Source organism: Homo sapiens, chromosome 2, assembly GCF_000001405.40.
Source record: "Homo sapiens chromosome 2, GRCh38.p14 Primary Assembly".
Lineage (NCBI taxonomy): Eukaryota > Metazoa > Chordata > Mammalia > Primates > Hominidae > Homo > Homo sapiens.
Genome location: NC_000002.12, coordinates 30238696 through 30261019, shown reverse-complemented (window position 1 = coordinate 30261019; position 22324 = coordinate 30238696). Strand labels below are relative to the sequence as shown.

The 22324-nt window shown below is 46.2% G+C and overlaps 1 protein-coding gene across 1 annotated transcript in view; it reads right to left on the bottom strand.

The window, feature by feature from the left end:
- Positions 1–991: 991 nt before the first annotated feature.
- Positions 992–22324, bottom strand: part of LBH (LBH regulator of Wnt signaling pathway) — a 28495-nt gene continuing 7162 nt past the window's right edge. Inside the window, exon 3 of the mRNA NM_030915.4 lies at positions 992–3587. Coding sequence (NP_112177.2) covers positions 3399–3587 — 189 coding nt within the window. The 3' untranslated portion in view covers positions 992–3398. The remainder of the gene's footprint in view (positions 3588–22324) is intronic.

Here is a 22324-nt window from a genome sequence, read left to right as displayed (position 1 = left end):
GGGCAGCAGATCCATAGATCTAGTTGTTTCACTAAGGCTAGTGTTAAAATGGGTCATTATTCTGTAAATCCTGGTAGACACCTTCAGCACAAACCACTGGATTCTCTACACTTACCAAGGTTAAGGAACCCGGAGGAGGGCTGGGTGAAGGCAAAAATAGCCTTGGGTTAGAAAAATGCCCCCAAATCCCTTCTACAAACCACCATTCTCTCACTCTGACCTCCACAAAGCCTCCTTCCTGGTCTCTAGGTTTTTCATCTTGCCCCCTCCAATCCCATCTCCATTGAGCCAGGTTGTATTAAAATGTGAAACAGACCATGCTAGGTCCTTCCCTTAGAATAAAATCCAAACTCCTAGCCAGGACTGAGTAGCCCTCTTGCATGCTTTCCTCTTCTACCACTCCACCCGCCAAGCCCTTGCCAAGCTGTTCTCCCTGTTGGAATCATTTTCCAATGCCCCCAACTCCCCTCTGCTCCCTGCCACCTAGTACCTGGCTAACTTCTCCTTGTCACTGCTTCCAAAGACCTTCCTGACCCTCCCAACTGATGTTCACACTCAGGGCATCCCAGTTTGATCCTGCCTTGCACTCACCATATTCGTCATTTAATTTTTCACCAAGGCAGGGCCATGAGAACCAGGGCCATTGCCATTTGTGACCTTGACCTCTTACTAATGCCTGCCAAGCAGTAGGTGCTCAGTAAATGCTTTGCATGATAGCCTGAGCTTGCCACATGCCCACCCACTCACCCTCCAGCCCCTGTGAATGACCTTCAGATATGTCTTGGGTTTTTCTTCCTTTAGAAGGGTAGTTCACACCTTGGCTGTGGGTTAAATCTCCCCAGTGAATTCTCCCCAGACAAGCCATCAGGTGAGCTACATAAGGAGCCTCTCTTGGGACTCCCCCAGCTCAGCCTCCTGCAGGACTTCTTCTTGCTCCTGAGCTCACTCCATTCCAACGGAACAGGAAGGGAAAAAGGAAACCAGACCAGAGTGGAAAGCATTTTCAAACTTTATTTACAACTGTCACAGTGACAAAAAGTAGTTTGGAAAAAAAAAAATGCTAGTTTCTCCCTGAGCCTCAAAAAAGAACAGATAGAAGTTACAGGAGGTTCATCTCACAACAGGCATTTTTACTGAAATACTAGGAATTTTTTCAATACAATCAGTTAGAAATACACACAAATTACTTGAAAAAAAAAAAAAGAGGAGGCCAGATAGGAGCTCAGCCACTTGTCCAAGAGCAGCTGGGTCCCCCCAGCAGGCTCCACCGCTGAGGGTCCTGACATTAGCTGTCAGCCCCTGGCCTGCTCAGACTGCAAACGGTCATACAAAGTGGTCTAGGGACCAGCAAAAATAATAAACCACCCCCATAAACAGACACATACACAAAGTAGATTTGTTACGCAGTTTACAAGCATGTTCCCATCACACAGCAAGACCAGGACAGGTGATTCAGGGTAGCAGATAAGGGAAGACACCAAAACACAGGAATTGAAAAGGCAAGACCCCCGTCCACAAGGGGAGGCGAGGGAATGAGAGTATGGATGAACCACTCTCTGCAGCCAAAACAGAACGAAGCGGGGAGCAAGAGAGAGGAAAGCCCCTCTCGGTGCAGGCTGCCGGCCTCTCCCACTTCTGCGAGGAGTTGGAAGAAGTTATTGCCATTGATGTGTGTCACACAGGCAGACAACAGAGGGAGGAAGCAAGGGGTGCCGGCGACCATTGGCTTCCCAGAACGGAATTCCGCGGACTGCTGTGTCCACAGCGCACCCTCGTCCTCCTGCCCCGGCATCCCCAGAGCCACAATGACCTTGAGGTATTAAATACAGCTATATACACACGTCCAGAACTGAGGGTCAACCTGGACTGACTGGAGACCTGAGGGGACATGCTGCGTGCCTTGGTTGGCCGAGTTTAGCTCAAGGAAGGCTCTGAGTCCACCTCTTGGCCACACGGTACTGCTCTCGGCGGACTGAAGCATTTGTCCTGCAACCTGCTGCTTCAGATGGCTCTTAGCTACAATAAGAAATCCTAAGTCCAAAGGCCAACTTTCTCATACAACTGGTGCCCTTGCAGGAAGCAGTGGGAGGTGGGGAGGGATGAGGACCACTGTTGAGTAAGGACAGCAGAGGTCCCTTGCCATGCCTCCCTTCTGCCCTTGTCCGGGAACAACATGGGGAGAAGCCAGGGATCTCATGACATCCTTTAGTCTCAAACTCGATCCCAAGGTTGCCACGACAGCCTTGTCCCCACCATGCAAGTCACCTCCCCAACAAGACACATAAAAAGCCACGTCTGCTCTCCACTAGGCTCCCACAAGAAAAACAGACCAAGATCCCCCATGGGGCGTGAGTACTGCAGCTGGGCAGACTGGCGGGAATCCATAGGTGAGCTGGGGACCCATGTACCCATGGCTGCTGGGGCTGGGGCAGGGAAGGTGGCGGTGAGGAGAAGGAAGGGCCAGCCTGGAAGACCACGCCCACTCCATCTCGGGAGCAAGTCTTGGAAGGGCAGCAGTTAAGGGAGAGACCTTCGTGCTGAGTGTCCACCCTGGGGCTTCCAACAAGGGCAGGAAGTGCTCTCACTACTCCTAAAAAGTGCTGGGAAGCAAAATGGATATATCAGGGAGAAAAGCTGAAAAGCACTGCCTCTTAAAAACCGATCACACTGGCTATGTGAGCCTACCACAGCTGGGAGCAGAGAGGCCATGGAGTAGAATGGGGTGACCTTTCCTTTCCTGCACTTCACCTCCAGCTGGCTTTGCAGGCAGCCAATTGCTCCTGCTCTCCTTTACTCTCCTCCCTGTCATATAGACCAACACACCTGAAATGAAAGCAAAGGGTGGGGTGGGTGAAACTGGAGAGAGAGATGAAGACTTTGTTTTCTGATGTCCCAGCAGCCAGAGTGAATGTCTGCTGAGCGCATCCTGGCTGCAGTTCTCTGCTCAATGTTTTCTTAAAAACATGTATTTTTTCTTTTGCCTCATGTTTGTTTTCTTACCCCAAATGTTCCTTGCTTGCTTTGCACATGCCCCACCTCCCACCCACCAAGACCCATTGGAATCCCACCACTGCCTCTACTAGGCTGCCTGAGTTCAGATAATGATCTCAAAAACAGCACTCGCTCCCCTCACCCACTAACCCCCTGGCTCTAAGCAGCTTCCTTTCTCAGAGGGCCTTGCAAATTGTCAGAGGGCTCCACTGCTCGGCAAATTTCAAAAAAAAAAAAAGGCAAGAAAAGAAAAGAAAACCAACTCGGTGATCTGCAGGTGCAAAACAGAAGCCTCGTTTGACATTTTCAGAACAATTGCGGCTCACTCTCTTCTTCCGTCATGATGGGAAAAACACAGTTCAGGAACAGATGCTGGCTGGTATGACCCATGGGAGTCCACAGGGACTCTACTGCTCTTTATTTTCTTTCGCTGTCTCTTCGCAGTTATCTTGCTCATCCTCCTGGACCAGGAACTCCTCAGGGGGCCACCGGAGCTCCCCGCTCTCCACCTCCCCTTCTGTGGGTTCCACCACTATGGAGGGCAGACGGTCCTTCAGTTTGCAGCAGCGGTCAAAATCTGACGGGTCTGGGAAGATCTGAAAGAAAAGCAGAGCAGGTGCCTGGTCACGTAGATATTTGAAAAGAGAAATTCCATTCCTTCTTTGCACATCCATGTGGCATACTGGGTGCATGCCATAGGCCAGGGACTGTGCTTTGCACTCGGGAGGCTGTGGAGTATATAAGGTGGGAGCCACGGGAGAATATTCTGGGGCAACATAGGAAACTGTCCCTCAGTCAGACTTCCATTCCAATCCTGAAGCTGAAAGTTTGGGGGCAGTGCCGCTGAGTTTAAAGGTTGATGTGATTCTGTTTGGATTCTGTATTTTATTTGCAGATAAAATCATCCCAAATCATGTTATCCACAGTAAGTCTGGTCTCTCTCTGCAGGAAGTATTTTACTCCAGCAGTACAAAGAATACAACAGGTGCCACAGCATTAAGTACCTCCCGGAATAATTATTGGCACTAAGTGAGCAGGTTACCAGGTGCTATACATATATCACTTCCAACCCACACAGTCATGCTGAAAAACAGGTGTTGCTAATGCTAGCTTAAAGAATCTCAGGCTTGGGAGAGTAGGTGGTCCAAGACCAGACAGCCTAGAAATGAGTGAGGGATGGGATGAGATTGAAAACTGGGTCTGGGCTGGGCCTGGTGGCTCACACCTGTAATCCCAGTGCTTTCGGATGCTGAGGCAGGTGGATCACGAGGTCAGGAGATCGAGACCATCCTGGCTAACATGGTGAAACCTCTCATATGGTAAACTACTAAAAATACAAAAAAAATTAGGCGGGCATGGTGGTGGGCGCCTGTATTCCCAGCTACTCCGGAGACTGAGGCAGAAAATGGTGTGAACCCGGGAGGCGGAGCTTGTGGTGAGCCGAGATCACGCCACTGGACTCCAGTCTGGGCGACAGAGCGAGACTCCATCTTGAAAATAAAAAAAAACAAAAACTGGATATGTTCGATTCCCCTGCCCCAACACCAGCTTGTCCCTCAAGCAGATGGGTCCTCATCCCATTGCAACTGTAAAGTCAAAGCCAAATCCTGATGAACGGCATGGTCCCCAGTCACAGGCAGGCTGGGAACAAAATCCAAGGATCCTTTTTCACCTGTGAACAGTTCCTGGCTTCTTGCCAGCTCTACACCTGAAGGAGTCTACTTCTTTTTCCAGAGTCCCGTCAGCCAGGCTTTGTTTTTTAATGCCTACTTTGTGTCCTGCCCAGAGCTGGCAGAAACTCCAAACCCAGCTATAAAATCAGGGCCAAATCTGGCTCTGCGGATTCCCTTTGCATACACTGCCCTGTGACTACAGCTGACCCAATTCTTGGCCCAGCAGTTTAAGTACTTAATCCGCTGGGCTGCTGGTCCCTGCCATTCACAGCCCTCAGTGACACACCCCAGAGCTAGAGAGAGAAGCCTCTGTCTGGGATGCTGGGCTCCCAGAATCAGGCACTTGGCACCTTCATGGCCATCTCTTCCCACCTCTCCATTTGGTAGATGAGCAACTCAAGGCCCCAGAGGGGTCAGGAGACCTGCCTAAGGTCACACAGCTTGTTCATGGCACAAGAAAGGAAAGCAAAACTTTGAGTGGGTGGAGACACATTTGAAGAGATCTGGGGGGCTGCCTGGTCCTGCCTGCACCTTGATCCAGATGGGGACAGGCCCACGGCAGCAGACAGGAGTCACCCATTACCAGGACATAGAAGAAAGGCCCTTTTACAAACTCAGGCCTTCCCAACTTCTGTGGTGCTCTGAGGATACCCGGTCTTATTGCAACCCAACCCCATGCAGTGCTGCCCCAGCCAAGTCACACTCTCACCACATCACAGGCCACGTGGGGCTTCCAGGAATCACAGGCCTCAGTGAAGCCTTCCCAATACCTGCAAACGAGTGATTATTAACCATTTATCCAATAAGACCTATTGCTGGGGATTAAGCCTTAAGCCAGCTGCACAACCAGGCATCATTAAAGACTTAACGAGGCTCATAAAAGGTATCATAATGGCAGCCAGGAGGAAAACAAGTCCAGGGAGGGGATGGGCCAGTGTGGGTCACGGAGGCAGAGGGGGACACGGACCCCGACTCTGGGCTCTGTCTTCCTGACCAGGTTGGCCCAGAAGTTCTGCCCTCAGACGGCGCTGTGCCCAGACGTGCATGTGCCGAGCGAGGAGCGCCACGTGGGCTTTTTGGGTGCGTCCTCATTTCTTGGGTGGGGCCAGAGCCCCCCATGGGCTGTGAGGACACAAGGCGCCCTCCAAGCATGAGCTCTGAGAGTGGGTGAGAGGGACCCCGATGGAGGGAAGCCCACTACAGGTCACGAAGCTCTTTCAGATGTCAGCTCGTTCAGGGCTCACTGCCACTCTAGGAATAGTAAGACCCGGGACTCTGTGGGTCACATGGCAGAGCCAGGATTCAAACCTACATCTGCTGTTTTCAGTGCCTGAGCCTTCTGGAAAATGGATTAGGCTGCTGCTGGGTCTCCACCCCATTTCACAGATGGAAAACTGAGCAGGGAGGGAGAGTAAGACTCTGGGCCTTCACTGCCCAGGCAGCTGTGAGGGCCCCAGCCCAGGAGGTGAGCTTCCCAGTCCCAATGCTTGTTTTAAACCTTCAGGATCCAAGACAGCGCCATAAGCTGTCAAGAGGAGAGGGGGACCTGCCCTGTGAAGAGCCTGGCCCTGCCTCCACCCTCTGACCTCACTGCCAGGATTGTGCCTACCTGTGCCAGGGCCACATTGTCAGGGCTGGGAGAGTGAAAACCCAATTCTAACTATGACAGCCTAAGCCAAGGAAAAGCAAAAGGCATGACAAGCAGGGCAGGCCCAGCAAAAGGAGGAGGGGGGGAGGGGGAGGAGGAGGAGGAAGAGAGGAGGAAGAGGACGAAGAGGAGGAGAGGGGTGGGAAGCATTGGATTTCACTTCAAGCTGGAAACAGGTCTTTCATTAAAATAAGGAAAAAAATCTAATGATGATGATGATGGATGAAATTTTTCCTGAGCAGAATCTCAAACCTCACAATAATTCTAGTTACCACCCCCCAACTTATCCACAGTTTTGCTTTTCTTGGTTTCAGTTACCCACGGTCAACTGCAATCCCAAGATAGGTAGGTACGGTACAATAAGATATTGTGAGACAGAGACAGAGACAGAGAGAGACCACATTCACATAGCTTTTGTTGCAGTATAGTGTTATAATTGTTCTATTTTATTGTTAGCTATCATTGTTAATCTCACATTGAGTCTAATTTATAAATTAACCTTTATCACAGGTATGGATGTATAGGATAAAACATAGCATATGTGGGTTTGGTATTATCTGTGGTTTCAGGCAACCACTGTGTGTCCTGGAACGTATCCCCCAGAGATAACGGGGACTACTGTAACCCTATTTTGTGGATAAGAAACCTGAAGCACAGAGACGGTATGTGACTTGCTCAAAGCCACGCACCTGGGAAGCAGCTGAACTGGGATCCAAACTCAGACCTGTAGGACTTCAAATGAAGCGTTCACTTGATAGCATGGGTTAAGCCACACAACCCAGGTGCTCACTATGTCCTTGACCACCATTGTATAACTCCGGTCAAGTCCTCTCAACCCCAAACACCTCAGTTTCTCCTTTTGAGACATGAGGTGACCTTCTTGTCTCACTAGATGGGTACAAGTTCTTGGCAAATATAAAGATGATAAAATACTTTGAGGACATAAGCAAAATTGAAACTATAATGTCCTCTTTGGAGCAGTTTCAAAAGAACTACAGTAAGCATCCAATCTCCAAGCAAGAGGGAGTCATATGAACACAGTAATTAAAATAATTCCAAACAGCGCCATTCATACCGAGAGCTCCACAATTAAGTCTTTTAAGACCTTGCAAGAGGTCTGAGAATTGAACTTCTGATACTGCTTAGCTGCCAGAGGACTTTGCTCCCTGAATTGCTCGAAGCAAGCACTGTTTAAATTTTTTTGTTTGTTTGTTTACAAAGCCTATTAATTGTATTTTTAAAAATTACTACAATAATCGAACCCTTCCATCAGAGATCTTATTTTATTATCAGATTATACCCATTTGGGCCTCAAAATTGTAGCTCTCTCCAAACACAAAAAGTACCCAGAACCAACAGCTTCTGGTTTCCTTACAGACAGACAGAAAGCCTTGCAAAGTGCTGCTGAGTAATTTGCCAGCACAATCTTATCTCTGACAGCTGCTTCAGAGGCTGACCCCAAGGAGGTCAACATTTTTCCACTAAGTCATGCTTTTTAATCATCTAGGCAGCAGAAAAATGAGAGGTTGCAACTGCAATTTGACGGGTGGGGTAGGCAGTGGAAAAAAGGACTTGAGTCAGACTTGCCAAGCACATGACAGGTAGGGGTTGAGGCGGCAGGCCAGGCCGGCATGCTGCCTGCCTGCAGGAACTGGCAGGGAGTAAAGAACTGCCCCTGTTCCCAAAAGAAACTGCTTCTGGTTAAACCTCTTTCCCCAAAGTGCTCCTTCTCTCTGTACTACAGAAAGGCAAAAACAAACACAAATCATTTTCCCTTCTCTCTGCAGCTCTCAGAGGCATTTCTCACCCTCAGCCCAGGGTAGGGCAGGTCTAGAAGAATCCACCCCCAGCTGTGATTCTCCCAGCCCTACACCTTCCTCCCTCTGCCAGCCCTGGACTCCACATCCAGCAGCCACATTGGGCTGCCAAAGCTGATGGCTGAAATGAATCCAATGGACACCAAGTGTGTTAGTCCATTCTCATGCTACTATGAAGAAATCCCCAAGACTGGGTAATTTATAAAGGAAAGAGGTTTTTTTTTTTTTTGAGACGGAGTCTCGCTCTGTCACCCAGGCTGGAGTGCAGTGGCACGATCTCTGCTCACTGCAAGCTCCGCCTCCTGGGTTCACGCCATTCTCCTGCCTCAGCCTCCTGAGTAGCTTCGACGACAGGCGCCCGCCACCACGCCCGGCTAATTTTTTGTATTTTTAGTAGAGACGATGGTTCACCATGTTAGCCAGTATGGTCTCAATCTCCTGACCTCATGATCCGCCCGCCCTGGCCTCCCAAAGTGCTGGGATTACAGGCATGAGCCACTGCACCTGGCCTAAAGGAAAGAGGTTTAATTGCCTCACGGTTCCACATGGCTAGGAAGGCCTCAGGAAACTTACAATCATGGTGGAAGCGGAAGCAAACACATCCTTCTTCACAAGGTGGCAGGAGAGAGAAGTGCCGAGCAAAGGGAGAAAAGCCCCTTATAAAACCATCTGATCTTATGAGATCTCACTTACTATCATGATGAGAATGGCATGAGAGTAACCGCCCCCATGATTCAATTACCTCCTACCAGGTCCCTCCCATGAGACAAGGGGATTATGGGAACTACAATTCAAGATAAGATCTGGGTGGGGACACGGCCAAGCCATATCACCAAGTTCCATCCTTTGCAAATGGAATGAAGCCTTGACATTTACACACACCATGAATCTCCCAGGTCTTGCATTCTCCACTGTGTAGAAAAGTAAGCACCATTGTTCATCTCAGAAGCTCACCCTCAGGCCCAGGATTCTCTGCTCCAACAGCCTCTGCTGTTGGTCGGCCAAACAAACGCCCTGGGCTTCCCTGAAACATCTTGCTGCCTTCATCATCCTCATACTAAATCATCTATCCAACAAAGCAGCCACTCACCACACAGGGCCATTTAAAGTTACATTAAATTGATGTTTATATTATATCACATATAAATTTCTGTTAATAAAAATAAAATAAAAATTTTAGCCACCTTTCTTATTTTTTATTAGTTTTTTTTTTTTTTTTTTCTTGAGATAGGGTCTTGTTTTGTCACCCAGACTAGAGTGCAATGGCACAATCTCAGCTCACTGTAGCCTCAACCTTCCAGGATCAAGTGATCCTCCCACTTCAGCCTCCCAAAGTGCTGGGATTACAGGCATGAGCCACCATGCCTGGCCATGGTGATGGTGAATTTTACAGGGGACACCTCTTCGGAGGCATCCTTTGCCTGGTGGCCTCCAGTCCCAACAGGCCGTGGCATTTTGGGAACTCAAATGAATTCACTTGAAAGGTCAAGGGAGCTTCAAGGCTTCGTAGCAGGAAGAGATGGTCTGTAAGATACTGGAATTTCTGGCTGTATAGATCAGTGCTGTCCAAAAGAATGTTCTGCATATGGAAATGTTCTCTATCTGCGCTGTCCAGTACAGTAGCCACTTGCCATGTGTGACTATGGAGCACTTGAAAGGTGGCTAAAATTGGCCAGGCACGGGTGGCTCATGCCTGTAATCCTAGCACTTTGTGGGGCTGAGGTGGGAGGATTGCCTGAGCCTGGAAGGTTAAGGCTGCAATGAGCAGAGATTGTGCCATTGCACTCCAGCCTGGGTGACGAAACAAGACCCTTTCTCAAAAAAAAAAAAAAAAAAAAAATTCTACTGACAATAAAAAATAAGAATGGTGGCTAAAGTGTTATTTTTTATTTAATTTTTATTAATAGAAATTTATATTATATACTATAAATATCAATTTAATGTAACCTTAAATGGCCCTGTGTGGCGAGTGGCTGCCTCGTTGGATTGATGATTTAGTATGCGGACGATGAAGGCAGCAGGATGTTCCTGGGAATCCCAGGGCGTTTGTTTGACCGACCAACAGTGGAGGCTGTTGGACCAGAGAATCCTGGGCCTGAGGGTGAGCTTCTGGAGACCAGGAATTCCTCAGCAGGCTTCTTGCTTAGGCATAAAAGTTGCCGGTGAGCCAGTTCCCATTTCACCCTTGGAGGGGAACTGAAAGGCAACACCAGGGCTTCAAAGGCCCCAAATTTAGGGACCGGGCTATCAACTGTCTGCCTCCATGCCAGGTGACCTAAACCTGGCTGCCCCTGGGGTGGGAGAGGAGAGAGATGCCTGGCACCTGGCATGGAAAATGTGAGCGCTCCTGGTCAGAGCCACCCTCCCCTGAGTGTGCATCTCTCAGCCATCATCTGACAAACAACCCAAGCTGGCCACAAAGAGGCCGAGGGCTCTGCAAAGAGCCGAGAGATGCTAATAGGGAAAGCGGACACCAGCAGGTAGAGGAGATGAAAGGTGGTTAGCAGGACACAAAGGGCTAATGACCAGCTCTGCAAGCTGAGACCTCAGGAGCCTGGACATCTTGCTCTTTTTTGCAAAGGTGGAAAGAGGAAAGAGGAAGGCCGGGGGTGGAGAGGGAGGGGAGCGAGCCTGAGATACATAACCAGGCTAGCTCCCTAAGGCACTGTGGACAAAACCACACAGTAAGCTTCTACCCTCTCTTGTTGCAGAGAAGTAAGAACAATCAGCCCAAACCCGCTCAGGAAAATTGCTCTTCCCACAGGCAGACCACAGAGTCCGAAGGATCTGGCTTTTTCCTCGCCTCCATCTTTTATTATCGCTATGACCCTGGTCACGTCATTTTATCGCCTCTGAGCCTCAGCTGCCTCCCGAGTAAAATGAGAAAATCATTTCCACTTTACGGTATGGTTGGCAAGGTCACAGTGCTGTGCCTTGAGAGCCAGCACAGTGCCTGACAGGCTCATCGAAGCGGTGGCCTATTCTCCTCCTCTACTCCTCTATAATTTGGGTCAGTGCTAATGCTGATCTTGCAGGGCTTTGGAGAGAATCAAACACAGGTATGTGTGAACATGCCCTGTAAACTCTACCTTCCTAATGATGGTTCTTACTAGGTAAAGCTGGGGTCCCCCAGCAGCATTTAGAGTGAGGAACCAAGGGGTCAACAGCTGTGGCTTGGGACAGGAGCAAATACGCAGCACTCCTGGGCTTGTGCCCACAAATCCTAGGCCGAGTTCTTAGGAGAAATGGCTGCAACTTCATTCATCACTTCCCTCCCTGTGGCTCTGTTTCCCCAGGGCGTGGGTTAGGACCGGGGGAATGAAAACCATGCCCTTGTCACTACCCCGCCCCCAACCAGAGGCCTTCCTCTTCTTCTACCTCCTCCTTTCACTTACTCCAGGGGCCTGCCCCTCAGCTTCCCAACGTCTGGATTTCTTACTTCTCCTGGAGAACAACAATGAATTGCCTTGTGTGTTCCTTCCTTCCTACGATGGGCTGGCTTATAACAATGGGCAGATCTCTACCAGCATCCTGCTCTGCCAAGGGATGAATGAACAAGCAGCAGCTAATTCAAATAAAAAACCCACCTGTTCTTTGCCCCCTAACAATGTGTGAAGGCAAGAAATTCCGTCTTTGAAATACTTGCCTCCTGCTATTTTATTATCATCATTATTATTATTTGCATTTTACTGGCTTTTCCACGTGAAATGTGGCTAATAAGAACAGAAAGAATTGTAGCAAAGGGGCAGCAGGGCTACTAACTAGATGCAGGGAAGGAAGAATATTCTCCAGTCTCTACTCAGAGACTGTCCATCTTTAAGACTCTCATCTTCCTTAAATCTCCCCTGGACTGGGGTTACAGAACATCCACCTCACTCTGTTCTGCCTTGCCCTGGTGCCTCTAATCCTATAGAGGACTTAAGCAAAGATTTGGGGCTTATAACAACTGCTAGACCTCCTTCCTTTGGATCAAAGATGCTTAAGCCTCCAGCCTTGAAACTTAAAAGAAAAGGAAATCCTTTGGATAAACACCATCTTTCATAAACATCTCTCAAACACACACCCATCCTGCGAGTCAGGAGTTCCAAATTCTAATTAATTGCACTAATTTCTACTGCTAACTCTGGGCCCAGTGGAATGAGGAGGCTTTTGGAATGTTAGAGAACTTTTTTCTCCGGGGCAGTGAGAAAAGACTTGTTATCAGGCACAGATGACTTCAAATATTCACGACTTTTTGACTGTATCATCATTACCTTCTGGAAAGAAGACTGGCCCCCTGTCACCTCCAGGCATCTGTGGGTGGCACATCCGTCTCTCTATCCTCCCTCCACTAGTACTACCCAATGTCCCATGGTCACACCTCTCTCAGCTGCCATTTCTAACTATCCCCGCATTCTTTTTTTGGAAACACAAATCTTGAATATTTAGCCTGTCCCATTGCCTTCCATTTCTTGTTTGGGTTCCCTTCCTAACCCCCACCACGTAGCTTCCAAAAACATCCCTGGATGGAAACAAATCTCGAAGGCCTTCCTTGCAGCCCTGCCCCACGGCCTTTACTCCACTTTCATTCCGTCTCTACCCATTCTACAGTGCACTACCAGGACGACTCACTTTGTCCTCCACAAAAAATTTTTTTGCCCCACGCAAGACGTCTTCCTTGATAGTAGCTCCCATAAAAGAAGCTTGGAGATTTTAGTTGATCACAACTGCAGCATTGAGGCTAACAACTGAAGCAAATAGGGCTATATTCCTAGAGGTATATGCCTTTCAATGAAACCATCTACACTAACAGAGAGCTGATGGACCTGCTACCCTCTCATCAGGCATATTCTATTTAGCCTAGGGCAGCCATTCTCCAAGCTCAACTGCCAAGATCCTTTCAGTGAGGGAGCCTCCACAGAGGTAACATATTTTCATAGTAATACTAAGATGTCGTTTGCCTTTTTCAGTGTTAACACTTGCACTAAGGGTATAGAAAGCAACAGTGGAAGAAACTGCTGGCACCTTGGCGAGAATTAACATAGTGGCAGCAAACCATACTTGGCATCATCAATTGTTCGCCAGCTCACCCTCACGATTAAAACGAAAGCAAGCAAACAAAAAAAATTAATGCCCTTGATGAAGTGGTAAAAAGTAATTTATATTAAATATTGACTCAACCACATGTCACTTATGTATGTGGCACAGTGAAATGGACAGTTAGCCTACAACATTTCTGCTGCTGACGGAAGTACAACAGCTGTCTTGAGGAAAGCAGTCATGTGACAGAGTTGCCAGCTGAACTAGCCGCTCATGCCACGGAGCACCATTCTTACTTGAAAGAATGACCAACAAATTGTAGTTATTCCAACTTGGGTATTTGGCAGGCATTTTCTCAAAAATGGACAAAGTGACAAAGTGAGCCTGTCACTTCAAGGAAAATAACAGTATTTGTCACCAATGATAAAAATAGAGCTTTCAAGTGAAAATTAGAATTTTGAAAAAGTTGTATCAGCCACCATGAGCCTGACAGCTTCCTAATGCTTGAGATCAGTAGAGACATTAAGAAATGTGATTTTATGATATTGTATAATGAAATGAGTCAACATTTTGAAGACCTGCATAACTTGGTGAACCTATATTTTCCAAATGATCAGAACATTACACTAAGCATGGGTAAAAGATGCACTCAAAGTGCAAAATAGACTAATGAATTTTAGTGTACAAAAAGGTCATTGATAAGATGTCAGATATCACATTGCCACTAACATTTAAGAAACTACCACTTGTTGGCTGGGCACAGTGTTTCATGTCTATAATCCCAGCACTTTGGGAGGCTGAGGTGGGAGGACTGCTGGAGGCCGGGATTTCAAGACAAGCCTGGGCAACATAGTGAGACCCCATCTCTACAATTAAAAAAAAATAGCCAGGCATGGTGGCACATATCTATAGTCATAGGGACTTGGGGAGGCTGAGGCAGGAGGATCACTTGAGTCCAGGAGTTGGAGGCTGCAGTGAGCTATGACCATGCCACTGCACTCTAGCCTGGGTGACAGAGCAAAACGCTGAAAGAAAGAAAGAAAGGAGGGAGGGAGGGAGGGAGGGAGTGAGTGAGGAAGGAAAGAAAAAGAAAGAAAGAAAGAGAAAGAAGGAAGGAAAAAAGAGAAAGAGAGAAAGAAAGAGGAAAAAAACTAGTGAAGTACCAAAGAAACAAATCTGCATAGGCTAGATATCCTTCATTGACTTCAACCAACAACCAACACATACTGCAACAGATTGACTGGAGAAGCACATGAGAGTCTAGCCTAGTCTTCTATTAAACTAGACTTTAAACAGCCATGCAAAAACGTAAAACAATGCCTCTCCTCTCATTAAACATTTTCTGTTTTGGAAAATATATTTTTTACTAAAAACTGTTATTTACATTAACATGTAACAGTTTTGTTACTCTAAATGAATAAGTAAAAATTTTGAAAATTGTTCTAATTTCTGAAACAGTAAATATCAAAAGACATAATCAAAACAAAAGACATAATCATGAACAGAAGCTCTTTGGGTAGTCCTAAAATAAGTTTTAAGAGTGTGAAAGGGACCGAGACCAAAAGGTTTGAGAATAGTTGGCCTGGAGAAATAATCCTCAGTAAGATGACTATGGGCCAGGTGCAGTGGCTCACGCCTATAATCCCAGCACTTTAGGAGGTAAGGCGGGCAGATCACTTGAGGTCAAGAGTTTGAGACCAGCCTGGCCAACATGGCAAAACCTCATTTCTACTAAAAACACAAAAATTAGCCAGGCGTGGTGGTGCACGCCTGTGATTCCAGCTACTTGGGAGGCTGAGGCATGAGAATCCCTTGAACCCGGAAGGCGGAGGTTGCAGTGAGCTGGGATGGCACCACTGCATCCTGGGTGACGGAGTGAGATTGTGTCTCAAGGGAAAAAAAAAAAAAAAAGACTATGTAAGTCAAGGTTGAAAAACAACATATTTTAAAACTGGTAAAGATTTGAGGGGAACATAAAAGGTGCCTTCTGATATCTGAAAGGCTGATAGGTAGGGAAAGAACAGGTTTTTGTTGTTGCTTTTGTTTTTTAAACTCCAACGGGCACATCTTAGGATTAGGATGGTGGATTTCATGTCATTATTCGACTTTTAAAAAACACAATAAGGATTAGTTCTCTCACTTATACACATGGAAATCAGGCCCAAATAGGTGATGTGAGTTGCCTGAGATGACATAGGTAGCAGCAAAGCCAAGATTAGAAACCAGTTATCCGGATTCTTAAGTCTGTAATCCCTCTGTGCTGAGAGGTTCTGGACTCTGTGTCACAGTGTCCAAAGAATATCTAGGTAACCCGATGTCAGGCTACTGTAGAGGACATTCCTTATCAAGGTGATAGGACCAAGCTCAAAGCTGCCCTCCCCTCTGAGGACCTACAGTGCCATCGCTTTGATTCTGAAGAAAGTGTACGTATCCATGGTTTCCGAACTTCTAGTGTAGTCCCCAGTGGAATTCTGAACAACTCTGTCTCCTTTCACATGTTCTAAAATCCCTGATATATTATACATATTGACATTTTAAAATAAAATATACATACCACTCTTTTAAATGTACTAAATGGATTACAAATACCATAAGAATTTGACGGCAACCATGACCTATTAAAAAACTCAAGAACAAGCTCTTAAGTCAAATCTTGTATTCTTACTTTCTCTATGTAAAACTGTATTTCCATTCTACTTCTCCACAGAATTTTTTCTTGATGTAATATATTTTTATGTTTGAAAGTTTTTAGTCATTAGCTTTTCATAATTCTCTACAATAAAAAGATGTATTTATGCATACAAAATGATATTTTAAAAAATGTCCTACTTTAAGGCTTTGTTAATTTACAAATTCTGGATTGGTTTATTGCAGCTATTAGTATATAACTGATCAACAAACATATCACAAATAATTATTAAACACAAAGGTAAATTTTTATTGAGGTTTCTTTTTTTTCTGTTTGTTTGAGACAGGGTCTCACTTTTACCCAGGCTGGAGTGCAGTGGTGCGATCTCAGCTCACTGCAGCCTCCACCTCCTGGGCTCAAGCGATCCTCCCACCCCAGCCCCTCAAGTAGCTGGGACTACGGGTGCACACCACCACGCCTGGCTAATTTTTTTTTGTATTTGTTGTAGAGATGGAGTTTCCCTATGTTGCCCAGGCTGGTCTCAAACTCCTGAGCTCAAGCAATCTGCCCACCTCAGCCTCTCAAAGTGCTGGGATTATAGGTGTGAGCCACGCGTCCAGCCTTAATGAAGGTTTCTTACTGCAATAGTGAGTTGAATTGCGACAGGTTCTCCTCTTGTAAAGGGGGAGAAGGGCAGTTTTGAAAGAAAGGTAGGACAAGGAAGCAGGTGAAGCTAGTCTTCAGGAAATGCAATTTGCAAAAAGCAAGAGAAGAAGGCTTAAGATGTGGAAATGGATTTCCTGAAAACCCTCCCTGCCATCATGTCCTTTGGAAAGTGTCTGTGAACCCCAGAGGCAGCTGTCCTCCCATTTTAACATTTTGTTAAAATGTGAAGTAGTATAAGCATTATTAAGAAGTAATTTGGCATACAAATCTCTAACACTCAACTGCCAATGAAAACAGTCAGGAAGGTTCCTGATGCTTCAACTGCCATACCCGAGGGGCACATGACCAAAGAGATACCCATTTTAGAGGATCCTAAAAGGATTGTGCTGTGGAATTTCACACTCATGTAAGCTGGTATGTGTCAGCCTTGTGATATCACCTTCATCATCCCTGTTATGTCCACATACATGTCTTAGTTTCCTCCACTCATTTATTTAAAACATACTTGTTTAAAAATCTACCACTACATAAATGGAAAACTAGTCTTACATTTTTCAAGCTGTCTGTATAGCACCTAAATGAACTTTGTAAACCATCAGGAGTATGTGGACCCTGCTAGAGCACTGGCCTGGGCTGTCTACGTGTTGCAAAGCACCTAGACCCTTGGAGAGTTGTTGGGTACGTGGCCCTTCGACACTGGGTCCAAGACTTCCATTATGTTAAGATCTACTTTTAAGAGTCCAGCCCAGGCCAGGCGCAGTGGCTCACGTCTGTAATCCCAGCAATTTGGGAGGCTGAGGCAGGTGGATCACCTGAGGTCAGGAGTTCGAGAACAGCCTGGCCAACATGGAGAAACCCGTCTCCACTAAAAATGCAAAAACTAGCTGGGCATGTAGTGGGTGCCTGTAATCCCAGCTACTGAGGGAACTGAGGCAGGAAAATCACTTGAACCAGGGAGGCGGAGGTTGCAGTGAGCTGAGATCGTGCCACTGCACTCAAGCCCAGGTGACAGAGCAAGATTCCATCTCAAAAAAAAAAAAAAAAAAAAAAAGAGTCCAGCCCATCCTTAATTCCAGGGAAGGAATATTTCTCAACCATGAGTTATTCATGAGCCAGATCTGGAACCCCAGGAAAGCCAAGTTGGTTCAGAGACAAAGCATGCATCTGGTGAACCTTCTTGGGTCTCCAGAACAATGTAATTTTACTGGTCTTCTTCAAGGTTTACACAATGCTCAATGTCATTAATAGAATAAAGGAGAAAAGCTGAGTAATCGCTGACCTGTGTACATTTTTAATCCACAGAGGGTGTCAGTGTACCTACTAGGGGACAAGAATATGATCACCAGCTATTTTGCAATGCTGGCTAAATGTTGCTTGAACATCATCAACTGTTATCATCATGCTTGAAATAAGTAATTAACAAACAATAGGAAGATGTACAATATCTCCTAAACACTTTAAAATAGCCAAATATCTTTCTGATTCTATCCAAAAAGCTCTACCATTATCCCATCTTTATAGATGTTCTACCCTGGAGATTCTATTTGCTAGAGCTTTCAATGCTGGGAGCTTATATTTTGATAAACTCTTTGATCTTTTCTGTTTTTAAGGTAACATATAATCAGAAGGCTTAATGATGTTGAATCTCTTTGAATCAGTAATTCTACTTCCAGGAACTTATTCCAAAGAAACAAATCAGACCTGTGCAGAGATTTCTGTAAAATGATGTTCAGAATAGTGTTCTTTGTAAGAACATAATATGCCACAACCTAAATATTCAGCATTAAGAAATGTTACATAATAGAATTTTACAAAGAAAACCAAATGACAAGAACATAGTCACGATATTATATTAAGTGAAAAAGGGATTCACTACAGCATGTACAGTATGGTCTCAATTTTATTTTTTAAGTGCATAGAAAAATACTGAAAGTAAACATACCAAAATGTTTCAGTGATAGAAATATGGGTGTGGATTTTTTTTCTCTTCCCATGTCTCTGTATTTTCCTAAATTTCTATAAAGAATAAATATTGGCCGGGCGTGGTGGCTCACGCCTGTAATCCCAGCACTTTGGAGGCTGAGGTGGGCAGATCACTTGAGGGCAGGAGTTTGAGACCAGCCTGGCCAACAAGGCAAAACCCCGTCTCTACTAAAAATACAAAAACCAGCCAGGCATGGTGGCACTCGCCTGTAATCTCAGCTACTTGGGAGGCTGAGGCAGGAGAATCGCTTGAACCCACAAGGCAGAGGTTGCAGTGAGCCGAGATTGCACCACTGTACTCCAGCCTGGGCCACAGAGTGAGACTCTATCTCCAAAAAAAAAAAGAATATTACCTTTATAATAATAACATATATGTAACAGTATATATGCATACTCACACTTTTACCTTTTTTCAAGAAATCCTATTCCACAGTCTCTATGCTAAGGAAACAGTATAAAGTATGCACAAAGATTTATAAAAAACTGTATATAACTTTTTATATACATATTTACATATTTATAAGAGAAAATATACGTAACCTAAAAATTTCAACAATTGAATGACAAATTATGTTTTAACTTTATGATATAATATTACACAGTTACTAAAAATGATCGCTTGGAATATTTTTAAGATAAATCATCACAATAGAGTGCTGATGACTTAGACGCTGTTAAGGAAAGCAGCAAAATGCAACGTGTGATCTTGGCTACATAAAAACGTAAGTGCACAGGAAAAGAAGGCAAAGATGCTAAATTGTTAACCGTTGTGATTTATGCATGGTGAAATTGTGGTGACTGAAAAACAAAAAAATTTAAGAAACAAAATAGGCTGGGCGCGGTGGCTCCTGCCTATAATCCTGGCACTTTGGGGAGGCTGAGGGGGGAGGATCACTTGAGGTCAGGAATTTGAGACCGGCCTGGCCAACATGGTGAGACCCCGTCTCTACTCATAAAAATACAAAAATTAGCCCGGCATGGTGGCACGTGTTTGTAGTCCCAGCTACTCAAGAGGCTGAGGCAGGAGAATCCCTTGAACCTGGGAGGCGGAGGTTGCAGTGAGCTGAGATCGCACCATTGCACTTCAGCCTGGGCAACAAGAGCAAAATACCATCTCAAAAAAAAAAAAAAAAGAAAGAAAGAAAATAAAAATAGAAATTCCATAATGAGCATATGTTTCTTTTAAAATTGGAAAAGTAAGCATAAAAATAATAAAATACATATTTTATCAATAAAAATATGAAATTGCCAACAGAGGGAAAGGGAAGGAAAAACTTCCTATAATTAAAACACTAATCTAAAACAACCACTTATTAACCCCCATCTGCCCTTACAGTTGTGTGTGTGAATGTGTGTGTGTTAGTGGATGTGCGCTGGCACCACTGCCTACGTCCATGGGGATAAGTGGCTGACCTTAAGGCCACCTACTAAATTAGGGCTTGTATGCAGGGCTACATCTAGTGAAAATGTTTAGGAATTTGGGAAAGCCAAGGATACCTCTTAAATCCAGTTTGAACAAGTGCTTTAAGCTCTCCTAAGAAAAGCTGGAAGATGAGTTCAAGGTATATTTTAAATTCTGTTTGGGAACCACCAAATCAAGAGAAAGTCAGGCTTAGACACCAACTGTATCTGTACTAAAATTTAGGAGTGCCCTCTTTGCTTAGACCAATTCCATTTTATGTGAGAAATCCAGAATTTTCCTTCCCATTGGTTCAAATAAAATTCCTGGCTGAGAGGCAAGAAGTGTATGAGTTTCAGCTAAACGCTTGGGGTCTCTTCTACACAGTTTACCTAAAATAAGCTACTGCCGGTGGGAGGCAATTAAGTCCACCGGAGAGGGGGCTTGAGGGGGCTCCCAAAGTTTCCTTGAGGTTAAAATGCCAGCTTGACTATAGTTTGGAGAAACTTTGGGCAAATTGAAATTGTTCTTCAAGATGGATCTGTGTAATAAGGGGCCCTCCCTCAGCCCAGGAAGGAAGCAGAGGATTTGATGTGCTGATAACGATATCTTCCTGAGCTGCGCTTGAGGACAAGGGAAGGGCAGGTGGCGAGGTGAGAGGCAGTCAGAGGCAGCACAGAAGCTACTAGACTGGGAAGGAATGAAGCCCCCAGCAAGTCTACGCCCTGTGTGAATGAGGGCCTGTCTTCATATCCTCTGAGGACTACTTCAGGACTCAGGCCTGCAAGATCATTTCAGGACATTCACTAGACACCCAGGAATAGCTCTTGGCTACAGTCACAACATTCGCCACCCAAACTCATCCCTTTCCCTAACAGTACCATCCTTTCTATCCAACGTGGGAGACCGGGCCTACTTAGAGAAAATGCTGATCCTATAAAAATTGGCTTCATGAGACTGCCAAGATAAAAGGATTCTCAGTGCAGGACGGGGAGAGAGGAAGGGCCAATCCATCATCCAGGCTCATTAAGCAACTATTTGTAGGACACTGTGCCCAGCGTCTTAGAAACAAAGAGCAGCCTAAGACACAGCCCCTGGCTCAGCAGAGAGATGAACACATAACCTCTTGGAGAGAGAGGCGTCAGGCCCAACACAGGCCCCTTGAGAGGAGGCCGGGATGTATGGCCCTAGTATGCAACGTGTTGGCTGGGAAAGTGAAGAAAGCTTGTTCTCTCCCTGACCAGGCTACAGACTCACTGTTGTGACCAGGGGGCTTATGGGGCCCAGGAGGAAATCCCCATGGGAATAATTCCAGCCCTCTGCAGGGTAGTGTAGGAGGGAAGGTGCTGGATCCTCATACAGAGTAGATTTGCTCTGAACAAGGTGAACAATGACTCACATAGAGGCAGAATGTGCAGACACGGGCCCAGTGCCACTCAGAGAAACACATTACTTGTGCTTTTGAGACCCGTGGCCCTAACTGCCTGTTCTACATCCCATTCCTGTGATTTTTGTCAAGGAGAGAGGCGGGTGGGGGGAGTAGGGATAGGAGAAAAGAAAGTTGTTGCAATCCCAGGAACATGTGTCCGCGGCTGGATGCCTCCTGCCAAATGTTCTGGAATTTTTAGCTCTATGTCTCTCCAGGGACTACTGAGGCCTTTTAAGTCTGACATTGTGAAAGATGTTTCCTGGTGACCATGGGACTTGCGTGCAGCTGCTCAGCAGCGCCTCCCAAACTCTTGAGGACATGTGGGGAACTACAGCTGGGAGTAAGCAATGAGACAGGGGTAATGAGGAGGAGGCGGATAGAGTGGATGCGTTATGCCCAGAATGGCCTCGTGAGCTGGTGGGGGACAGAGGCCACGGACCAGAAACCTTCCTAAGGGCTTAACCCGTCACCTGTTTCCACACACGCATTCCACCCAGGTGGAACCGGCAGAGTGAAGCCAGGCTCAGGAGGTCTCCATCAAGAGAGGCTCAGCAGAGATGTGAGCAAAGAGAAGGGGTTTCCGAGCTACCGCCTAACTTCGGTGATGAAACAAACTGAGCCTGTTCTTTGAGAGATGAGTTGCTGCTTCTGACAAGGAGTGGGAAGGGCCAACGTGGAGAGACCCCGTCTCTACTAAAAATACAAAAAATTAGCTGGGCGTGGTGGCACACTCCTGTAGTCCCAGCTACTCGGGAGGCTGAAGCAGGAGAATCGCTTGAACCCGGGAAGTGGAGGTTGCAGTGAGAAGAGATCGCGCCACTGCACTCCAGCCTGGGCGACACAGCGAGACTTCATCTCAAAAAAAAAAAAAAAAAAAAAAGAGTGGGGAGGAGTGAGAGAAAGAAGGTGGCTATTTGGGACCTGAGAGACAAAGGGGCAAGAGATCTTGTGCCGGGAAAGGCTGGTCGTCCACCCACAATGGTCCTTCAGACCACCTCTCAATGCAGGGCCATAGCTGAGGCTCTCCAACTGCACGAGGCAAATACTAAGGCTGAGGCAAGAAAAGTCAG